Source organism: Homo sapiens, chromosome 14 (assembly GCF_000001405.40).
Source record: "Homo sapiens chromosome 14, GRCh38.p14 Primary Assembly".
Lineage (NCBI taxonomy): Eukaryota > Metazoa > Chordata > Mammalia > Primates > Hominidae > Homo > Homo sapiens.
Genome location: NC_000014.9, coordinates 94,363,969 through 94,374,867, shown reverse-complemented (window position 1 = coordinate 94,374,867; position 10,899 = coordinate 94,363,969). Strand labels below are relative to the sequence as shown.

At 52.2% G+C, this 10,899-nt stretch overlaps 1 pseudogene across 1 annotated transcript, besides 1 other annotated feature; it reads left to right on the top strand.

Moving 5' to 3' along the window:
* Positions 452–1,651: an enhancer, noted in NCBI's record as "P300/CBP strongly-dependent group 1 enhancer chr14:94839554-94840753 (GRCh37/hg19 assembly coordinates)". NCBI's record gives its function as "activates an origin of replication core promoter dependent on BRD2, BRD4, P300/CBP, MED14 and CDK7 cofactors, with strong dependence on P300/CBP, by STARR-seq in HCT116 cells {active_cell/tissue: HCT116}" and the evidence as "EXISTENCE:reporter gene assay evidence [ECO:0000049][PMID:35650434]".
* Positions 8,166–10,550, top strand: SERPINA2 (serpin family A member 2 (gene/pseudogene); annotated as a pseudogene). Its single transcript, NR_110563.1, has 2 exons — positions 8,166–8,824; positions 10,280–10,550. The product of NR_110563.1 is annotated as a serpin family A member 2 (gene/pseudogene), transcript variant 2 (transcript).
* Positions 10,551–10,899: the final 349 nt, after the last annotated feature.

Here is a 10,899-nt window from a genome sequence, read left to right as displayed (position 1 = left end):
GGCAAACTCCCTCCCCAGCAGGGACCCAGGCAGCAACTCGGAAAAGCAGGAGTGTCACTATTGTATCATATGGGAGAGGGCAGGCTGTGTGCTCTCAGGGAAGTTCCTCAACTTCTCTGTGCCGTAGTTTCCTCATCTGCAAAATGTAAATCAAATTTGAGGTTTCAATGCAATGACTTATTTCTCTAAAGTTCCTTGTCCTTGTCCCATGTAGCCCAGAAATCTTCCTCTGGCCTAGTTGTGGAGCCTGGCCTAAGTCGCACATTGCTGGAGATGGTGAAGCTGACCAGCATGAGAGGTCAGTTTCTAGAAGCCCAAATCCCAACAGGCATAAGCCTCACCCTCCAATATCAGCTCTATCAGAAACAAACAAACAAAAACATGTCTTATTCATTTGTCCTTTTCCTCAAATGGGTGGCACTTGGGCAGGGCAGAAGGGCTGGTTATCCAAGCTTGGAAGATGCTGACAGCAGACGCTTCAATGGCAGTAGGAGTTTTCTGATCACTGTCATTGGTATCACGCTTACTGTTGAAATCGTGACATCAGGAATGATGAAAGGAACTAGAGTCAGATGGTCTGGAGCGGGGAAGTGAGGAGCTGAAACCTCCTTCAGTCTGGTTGCTGTGTCCCCAGGGTGGGTAGATCCCCTCTGTTCATCCCACATGGGACAAGTAGAGCGGGAGAGGAATCAACCCTTTCTAAAGGGTTGAAGCATTGAGCTGTGAGCTTCTCGGTTGCTGCAGCACAATCCTTGCCCATCCTGACTGAAACAACCAGAATTCATGAAATGCATCAAAGAAGTCTTCACCTACTACGCAAGCCTGGAAGGGTGACTAAGATCTGAAAAACACCGGGAAGGCTAAAGGAACTCCCACAAGGAAACCCCATTAGAAAGTTCTAGTTACAAGATGCTCAGCACAGGCCATGCAGAAATACGCCCAGATCCGGTGGTGAGCAAGGAACGGTAGGAATGTGAGCACTGAGTCACGCAGGAGAGACTCATAGGGGCTCAAGCCAGCAAGGGGACGGCCTCCACCCCACGCACTGTTGGCCAACAGCTTCCAGGGGCATTTGCTCTCAGAAGTCAAAGCTGATTTTCCACAATTGAAGTGCTCACTGTTTGGGATGATTTAGGAACAACACCAACAAAAAGGAATGAACAATCAGAGCTAATAGAATTGTGTTTAAACTCTGCTGGGCTTCCTTGACAGAGGGCACGGGGAGCAAACAAAGTCAGCAGTGTGTCTTAAGTAAAAAACTTTTTTTCCTTTTAATTGGCAGTTAATACCCTCAAAATATGTTCTGAGATTGATCAAGTAAGTGTCTTTCAGCATTAAAATATTAGGATGAAATTGCTAAGGGCTTCTTAGCAAAGTGGAAAGAACACAGGAATCCCAACTCCACCTTCTCCTTAGCATACAATCCTGAGTGGGCTGTTACAGCTCTCTGTGCCTCGGCGCCCTCACCTGCAAGACAGGTAAAATAAAACTCCTAGGTTACTTTCATGAATAATATGCAAAGCATCACCCTAAAAAAGTGCTGCTACTTAAATGACCACCAAACATTAATGAATACTGTGGATTCCAAAAATATTAGTTAATGTGAGTGGTGTGGCTACCTTCCCCCAGTGCCCCGTGCTCTGTCAGGGAACTAACAGAGGAATAAATTACAGATATTCACAAGTTTGTTACCAATGACCCTGAGCTAGGAATCAGCCTGGGATCTTTTCCCAGGTCTACCACTAATGTGCCACCTAACACTGCGGACATCCTCTCCTCTCCCTGAGCCCCAGTTTCCTCACCAGAGAATGTGAGCATTGAGGTCCCTGGAGTCCTGACATTCCATAGAGCTCTGAGGGCTTCAGGCCGGCCCCACGTCAGTCTTTCACCTGTGTGCCCTGTGCCCACTGCTGATCTGGGGCAGAGGAGGCACAGGGAAAGGGCCCAGGCTGCTCTTAAAAATCGCATCTCACATTGAGACCGACGCATGGAGACTGCGGCAGAAGCAGCAGAGGTGAGGACCCCGTGTGAGTCCCCTGTGGCTGCCGTAGCTGATTTAGCTGATTACCATGAGCTCCGTGGTTTCCAATAGAATGCATTCTTTTACAGTTCTGGAGGCCAGAAGTCCAGAACAGTATCACTGGGACAAGGTCAGGGTGTCAGGAAAGCCGAGTGTCCTTGGAGGCTCTAGGGGATGTGCCACTTCTTCCTCTTCCAATTTCTGGTGGCTGCCGGCATTCCTTGACTTGTTGCCCCTCCAGTCACGGCCTCTGTTGTCACACTGCCCCCTCTTTCTCCATCTGTGTCAGGTCTCCCTCCCCCTCCCCCTCAGGAGGATACTTGCGATAGCATTTAGGGACCACCTGGATTGTCTTCTCCTACCAAGACCCTTAACGACATCTGCAAGGACATTTCTTCCATAGTTGGTAACATATCTCTGGGGGGCGCTGTTGAGCCTGTAGAATGCCCTACTTTACCAGTGAGGGGATGATGGGGCTGGAAGAGGGAAGGAATGAAAGGAGTGTGAAGGAAGCGCCACCAAGGAGAGCTGTGGAAGCCCAACCCAAAGACCGCACCTGGGATGTCGGGAAGGGCCAAGGTACAGAAGGAGAAGGAAGAGGGTTGGAGGTGGAGGGCCAGCAGCACCAAGGCTCGGAGCCAGGGTGAAACTCCCCCGCCAGGGGATGGAGAGAAATGGTGGGGTCGTTCTCTCAGGCAGTGGCACAGCAGAGCCAGGGCCAGATCTGGAGGTGGCTGTGCCCCCCTGGGGGGTGCAGACTCACAGCCCCTCCAACAGGGAGCCCCTCCAGGTGAGAGCGAAATGGAGATGAGCGCAAAACCCCGACTATCAGGCAGATTCTGCAGCAAAAATGACTTCAGAGGTGAACTGTGTGTAGCCTCAGGAACGGGATAGAGGTGGCCCTTGTAAACCTACCCTGCAATGGTGTCTAGGTCCCATGTCCCCTGTTCCAGACAGAGGCAGGCCTTGGCCTCCTGAGGAGGGACAGCAGGAGGGCAGGTCCCTCACTGAGCCTGGAGTCTCTCTCTCTGTACAGCAGGCACCTTCTCCCGACCACTCCCACCACCAACATTTCATTCTATTCCTTCCCTCAGGGGGCAGCTACAATTTCTCTCTTAGCCCAAGGAAAGGAATAAAACAAACTGCCTTATATTGAAGTGAACATGGCTGATCTGGGCTTATTGGGAGCCCTCCCAAGGGGCGGGGTCTAGTTCTCATTATCTTCTCCATCAAGGTGGCTAAGAATTTTTGCAGTTTCTTATAACTCACAAAGTACTGTCCTAGAAGCTATATCCCCATGAGGGGAGGTAGGGCAGGTATTATCAGGTTCGCTTACAGGTGGTCAACAGAGGGTCAGAGAAATCAGTGATTTGGGGAGCTCATACAGCTGCTAGATGTAGCCTGGCATCAGTCACCGCAGGAGGGCCCACCCCGGCCTGAGTGCAGGCAGAACGCTGTGACACTGAGTGACATGGACAAGTCACCATCCTGAGCCTCCCATTCTCACTAACAGAGAATCACCACCCTCGGCCTGAAGGACAGGTTGTCTGCAGGTGACTGCCGGGGTCACGGCAACAGCTTCCCCCCTGCCAGGCCTGGGACCCGAGTTGCAGGGAGTCAGGTGTATGGCCTTTTGTGGTGTCTGTGTGGTCCAGGAAGAGAGGGGCTGCACCGTGTGTGTGTGTGTGTGTGTGTGTGTGTGTGTGTGTGTGTGTGTGTGATTGTGTGTGTGCATCTGAGTATCCGTGTCTCTGTGTGATGCTATATGTCAATGTGTCTTTGTGTGTGTGTGTGTGTGTGTGTCTCTGTGTGTTGGCATGTAACTGTAATGTCTTTCCTTGTTTGTGTGTGTGTCTGTGAGTGTGTGTGCCTGAGTGCACATGTGTCTCTGTCTCTAGGTGTTTGTATCTAAACTGAGGGTGTGTCTGTGTGTTTCTGTGATTGTGTGTCTCTGAGTCGGTGTGTGTCTGTAACTGTGTGTGTTACATGAAACAGAAGCAGATGTAGTGAGAATGAGAGGGTCTAACTCCCTTTATCCTCACACAAGGACCCCTCACTAGAGTGGAGAGAACGAGTCCTTCCCAGTCACACCCAGGAGCCCTCGGGTGGCACTTGGCAGCTGGTGTCACCACCCTAAGTACCCACACAAATGGGCTATGGAGGCAGAGCAACAAGGATTCCAGCTCCTGGTGAGAGATTCCCAGGCCAGGGTCTTGGTAGACACAAGCCTGGTGACTTCAGGCAGCTGGCAATTACTGGGCATCTACCAAGGGTCAGCCACGGTTCCAGGCCCCTAGCGTGTATGAATTCCTTGGCTCCTCTCGTCACCTCTCTGAGGGTGTGTCAAGGAGAGAGGAACCTGGATCTTGGATGGCCACGGGGCTCCCTTCCACCCACATCCCCACATGGCTGCACAGCACAGGCTGGTTCTGTTGGACTGAGCCCATCCGGGGAAGAACAGCGAGACCCTCGGGTGAGATCGGGCTCACTGGAGACAAAAAGCATGGCAGGAGCTGGAGGCGCCCCAGGCTGATTTCCGGGACAGGAGTTTCCTGAACACAGGGACTGAGCATCCCCACAGCCCCCTAGACTGGCCCATGAGCACGAGAAGCCCTGAGAGTGCGTGGGGATGGCCTGTGTGCAAGGCAGCGCAGCGAGCCTCTCTGCACAACCCACAGGCTCTGCTGGGTGAGGAGTTCTCCCTCAGCCTCCTCTGGAGCTGACGCTGGGGGAGAGCGCCGTGAGCCTCCCTGCCTGAATTCTTATCTGCGCTTCACACAGGAGGAAACTGAGGCACGCAGAGTTTTAGCTCCTCTTGGCCAGAGCCAGGATTTGAACCCAGGCGTCCGAACCTTGGTGATCCTGCGGGGCAGAGTGAGTTGGGGGTTGGAATTCCATTTCTCACAAAGTGCCCAGCACAGGGTGGGCCCCTACAGAGGGTAAGAGCTGGGGGGCGGGGCTCGGTCGGGTGTGATTTTCCCCTTCTCCTGCCTTCCCCAGGGTGGGACTCCCCTCTGGTGTCCTGGTATTCACCTGTGTCTCCACCTGTAGAGGCAGGAAGGATTCAGCCTTAGGGATGCCCCCTTGCTCTCCAACAGGCCCCTCCGCCTCAGGCTCTTTTTTTCTTTTTTCTTTTTTTTTTTTTTCTTTCAGATGGAGTTTCCCTCTGTTGCCCAGGCTGGAGTGCAATGGTGCAATCTTGGCTCACTGTAACCTCTACCTCCTGGGCTCAAGCGATTCTCCTGCCTCAGCCTCCCAGGTAGCTGGCATTACAGGCATGCGCTACCATGCCCGGCTAATTTTTTTTTGTATTTAATAGAGACCGGGTTTCACCATGTTGGTCAGGCTGGTCTTGAACTCCTGACCTCAGCTGATCCACCCACCCCAGCCTCCCAGAGTGCTGGGATCACAGGCGTGAGCCAATGCGCGCAGCCAGGCTCTCTTTTTCTTACCCTGCTCATTCAAACCTCCAGCCTGAGCCAGAGTCCAAGACCCTGTTGGACCCCATGGCCACTCCCTAAGAGTCTCAGAGGAGGAGGGATGCCCTTTTAGCTCTGGCCCTTCAGAGCTTGTTACCCAGATTCCAGAGGACACTGTGTCATCTCCTCACTGCTCTCCGGTCCCCACCTTCCTGCCCCCAGGGGCCTCTGCCCTTGATCTCTTGGTTAGAACTCCTGGCTTGAAAGGGTGAGGTGAATTCATTAACTTCTCTGATGGCCTGACGACCTTTTCAGTCCCCTCTTCCCTCTCTCCTACCTGGTTCATGGTCCGCTCCTCTACCTGCTGGGGCCCTCACAGGTCCTGAAGGCTTTGTGGGTTCGAAACCCAGCCCTCTCCTCCCCGCAAAGCGCTGCTTCTGAGGCCCCTTCCCGTTGTCCAGCTTCACATTTACATTGATTTCACCTCATTCTCCCCATATTCCCACTTCAAAAGGAAGATGGAGAGGTGGAAATACTTTTCTGAGATCACATCGTTGGTGAGCGACAGAGCCTGGAAGAGAAGCCAGGCCTGTTGTCATCACTTCCTCTCCCACACACTCATGTTTTTCTGGAGAGCTCAACCTCCCCGGGTCCCTTATTGCTGTTAGGCCCAGGGCTGGAACCAGCAATACCTGAGTCTCCCCTGAGCTGACAGCAGGAGCCTCAGCCCACGTGTGTGGCAGGGACCTCCGACTCATAGCGGGGCAACTCCAGGACAGGCTCCAGGGGCTGGGGCACAGGCTCCTCTGTGGGCACAGCCCCTGAGTCTCCCTGGGGGCTGGCATTAAGCCCTGGGTCAGGGAGGAACCTTATGGATGTGAGAGCTCCATCATGTCAGTGAGGAGATCGGCTATAGGTTCCTGAGACCTGGGACAGCAGACGCAGTGCAATCCTGGGGACCCTAAACAGGGCCCCCATCCCAGAGGAATGGACATCCCACACGGCCTGGGCCCAGGCAGATTCACATGGGCCTCACTTGACTTAAGTCCAGTCTGAAGGAGAGAAGCTTCTGTCCAATTAGGCAAGAGGAGACCTTCAAGACAGCCAGGGTGATCTGAGCCCCCACCCCAGGGGTGCTCCACAGGGGCAATCAGCAAGGCCAGGGGATGGTTTATCACCATCCCTGTGAGTTGAGGGTCACTACATGACTGTGGTTTTCTTGAGAATGTTGTCAAACATCCTAGGATGCACCACAGAGTCCCCCACAGCATAGCACTGCCCAGCCCAATATGTCCAAACGGCCAGGATCAGGAGCCCTGACGTCCTCCGGGCCTGGCCAAGAGCAGCATCCAAGGCCCCAGCCTCTGAGGAGGCAGTACTACAGCTCTACGCAAAGCACTTGGCCAGCAGCTGGTGGCTTGTCGGCTCCCGGTTCTGCCTGACCAGCTATGTGGCCTTGAACAAGTTACTGAACCACTCTGAGTTCACCTTTCCCATCCTATGAAAATGGAAATTACAAGACATATCTTTAGACGAAAGGCAATGTCTGCGATTGCCCCTAGAAACAGGGCTGTCATGTGCTTTAATCAGCAGCATTCCCCAGGCCAGGAATGTCACAGGGCTCAGACAATAATCAAACCAGGCTCCAGGGTCCTATAAAGTGAAGGCTATCACAGTTGGGAGGAGAGGGAGATGCATGAAGTGTGTGGAATCTGGGGAGAGCCTAGGCAGAATTCAGGTAGGCTGGGTTTACACAGCGCCTCTGAGCCCTGGCTGTGTGTCACGGTACAGTATCCCGTCCCTCTGGGGACAGAGCTTCTCTGTCCATTAAATAAGGGAGGTCAGTGGAGATCTCCAAGGACTGTTGTGGTGTGTGGAAGTCATTGCTGATCCTGACTTAACCCACTTCCTTAGTAACCCTGGGCAAGTCCCTTATGCTTCCCGTGCCCCAGTTTCCTATTTTCTAAAATGGGGGCCAGATGCTGTGGCTCATGCCTCTAATCACAGCATTTTGGGAGGCCAAGTAGGGAGGATCCCTTGAGGTCAGGAGTTCAAGACCAGCCAGGGCAACATGACAAAACCCTGTCTTCACTAAAATACAAAAAATTAGCCTGGCGTGGTGTGCACGCCTATAATCCCCGCTACTTGGGAGACTGAGGCAGGAGAAACGCTTGAACCCGGGAGGCGGAGGTTGCAGTGAGCCGAGATCACACCACTGCATTCCACCCTGGGCGGTAGAGCCAGACTCTGTCTCCAAAAATATAAAATAAAACAAAATGGGGCTGTGGCATTTGCACCTCAAGGTCATTACAGAGGTAAGTGGAGCTGCAGAGAGCAAGGACTCAAGACCCAGCCGGCCAGGCTGAGGGATGCTTGCTTTTCCTGTTTGCTGACCTTGGGCTTGAGTCTCACCTCTCTGGGCTTTGGTTTCCTCATGTGTAAAAGGAAGATAGTAGCATTACCACCTCACAGGATTGTTACAAGAAAGCAATGAGTTAACACACGTGTGCTTAGAACAGTTCTTGGCATAAGCTAAGTACCTTACACGTGCTTGCTATCTTTCTTATTCTTTCAATGATGATGGTGTAGGAAAGTGTTTGCAATGGGCTGGGCACATGGTGGATGTTTAATAATTCATGGTTGCAATCACACAATGTCAGTCCCTGGTCACTGGGAGTCATCATGTGCCCTGACTTGGGGCCTGGCCCTCTGCCTCTGTCTTGCAGGACAATACCATTCTCTGTCTCATGGGGCGTCCTCCTGCTGGCAGGCCTGTGCTGCCTGGTCCCCAGCTCCCTGGTTGAGGATCCCCAGGAAGATGCTGCCCAAAAGACGGATACATCCCACCATGATCAAGGGGACTGGGAGGACCTTGCTTGCCAGAAGATCTCCTATAACGTCACCGACCTCGCCTTTGATTTGTACAAAGAGCTGGCTGATCTATCACAAACCAGCAATGTCTTAGTCACCCCAACAAGCGTGGCTATGGCCTTTGCAATGCTCTCCCTGGGGACCAAGGCTGACACTCGCACAGAGATCCTGGAAGGCCTGAATGTCAACCTCACAGAGACGCCTGAGGCCAAGATCCACGAATGCTTCCAGCAAGTTCTCCAAGCCCTCAGCAGGCCAGACACCCGGCTCCAGCTGACCACCGGCAGTAGCCTGTTTGTTAACAAGAGTATGAAGCTAGTGGACACGTTTTTGGAGGATACCAAGAAGCTGTACCACTCAGAAGCCTCTTCCATCAACTTCAGGGACACCGAGGAGGCCAAAGAGCAGATCAACAATTATGTGGAGAAAAGAACTGGAAGAAAAGTAGTGGATTTGGTCAAACACCTGAAAAAAGACACAAGTCTTGCCCTGGTGGATTACATTTCCTTTCACGGTAAGGTAGCACTACCTGTCCAAGCCCGTTCCACTGAAATAATCCAAACATATTCTCAAATTACTAGTTCTTAAGCTTTCCTAGACAATGTACTATGAGATATGGCAGGGCATTTAACATGGATTCTGCAATTTTCCAAACACAAACAATAAAATACTTTCCATGATCAAACAAGATTGAAGAATGATGAGTTTAAGACAGCCAAACCATCATCTTCTCTACAGACCTTGTCAGAGCCTTTATTGTCCTAATACTCATTGGAAATCCCTAATAGGGAGGGGGCAGAATATGAAATGCTTCCCACATGCTAAAGCCAGAAAAATATTTTGTGGCACATGCATAAAGGAATAGTTTCATGGAACATACTTTAGACGACCCTAGTGTCCCAGAAGCAGTGTCAGCTTTGCCGTCTAAAATATTGGGGTTCAAATCCTGCCTCTACCACTTACTAGCTTTTGATAAAGGACAATGCATTCTACCTCTCTGAGGTGCTAATTTCCCGTCTTAGCATGGACAAAATAGCATCCTTGCTGTCAGGTTGTTTTAAGGATTAAACAAGTGACAGATACCATGGGGATGGTGTGTGGCATACAGCAGGTGATGGACTCTTCTGTATCTCAGGCTGCCTTCCTGCCCCTGAGGGGTTAAAATGCCAGGGTGCTGGGGGCCCCAGGGCATTCTAAGCCAGCTCCTATTGTCCCAGGAAAACAGCATAGGGGAGGGGAGGTGGAGGCAAGGCCAGGGGCTGCTTCCTCCACTCTGAGGCTCCCTTGCTCTTGAGGCAAAGGAGGGCAGTGGAGAGCAGCCAGGCTGCAGTCAGCACAGCTGAGGTCCGGGCTCTGCTGTGGCCTTAGGGCAGGCCCAGGCCCCTCTCCAGCCCCCGTCTCCTCCTTCTGTCCAATGAGAAAGCTGAGCTCAAGGGTCCCTGAGGCACCTGCCCACTTGGCATGCCTCGATGGTGAAGCTTTCTTGGTACGGCAGAGGGGAGTCTGCCTAGGCATCTGCATCTCCCCTGCTCATCCAGGGAAAGGCCTCAGGAGAAGTAAGCACAATGCTGTCCTCGTATCTCAACAGAACCAGCCCTCTGCATGAGATCAGAAGCCTCCAGCCAAAGGTGGCAAGGCATAAGGAGTTCCGATTTTACTCATTAACTTTCATTAACCATCCCCAAGCCGCTATCGAATAAACAGAGCCAAATATAAATGCTTCTTCTGTGGCACCAGGATTTTGCCAATTAGTTCAAGTATATAGAAACTCTGGATTCTTCTTTATCTTCAGGTGATTCTCACAAAAGCTCTCCAGCAGCCAGATAGTTCCATTTGAATCCCATTTTACAGATGATAAAGCTGAAGCAGAGGGAAGTGTCCTGCCAAAGGGGCTCAGGGCTCCTTTCATTCACACACTTCCACCCTTTTATCCCACACCTGGCTGATGCCCACCTTCCTTTTCTTCCAGGCAAGTGGAAAGATAAATTCAAGGCTGAGCGCATTATGGTAGAGGGCTTCCATGTGGATGATAAGACCATCATCAGAGTGCCTATGATAAACCACCTGGGTAGATTTGACATCCACCGGGACAGGGAGTTATCCAGCTGGGTGCTGGCACAGCACTATGTGGGGAACGCCACTGCCTTCTTCATCCTGCCCGATCCAAAGAAGATGTGGCAGTTGGAAGAAAAATTGACCTACAGCCACCTTGAAAATATCCAGAGAGCCTTTGACATAAGGTGATTTCCAGTTCAGGGGCTGAGTCAGAAGCTGCCCAGACCTTTGAGCCATGTCAGGACTGAGGCCCAACAGGACTGGCCAGAGGGCTGGGGAGGGTGGACCTCACATCCCTGGGTCACAGCTACTGCAGAGGCCACCACTGAGTTCAGGCAGGACCATCCATGCTCCATGAGGAGGACAGTACCCAGGGGTGAGGAGGTAAAGATCTCGTCCCTGGGGACTTCCCACTCCAGTGTGGACACTGTCCCTTCCCAATATCCAGTGCCCAGGGCAGGGACAGCAGCACCACCACACATTCTGGCAGAACCAAGAAGGAACAGATGGGCTTCCTGGCAAAGGCAACAGTGG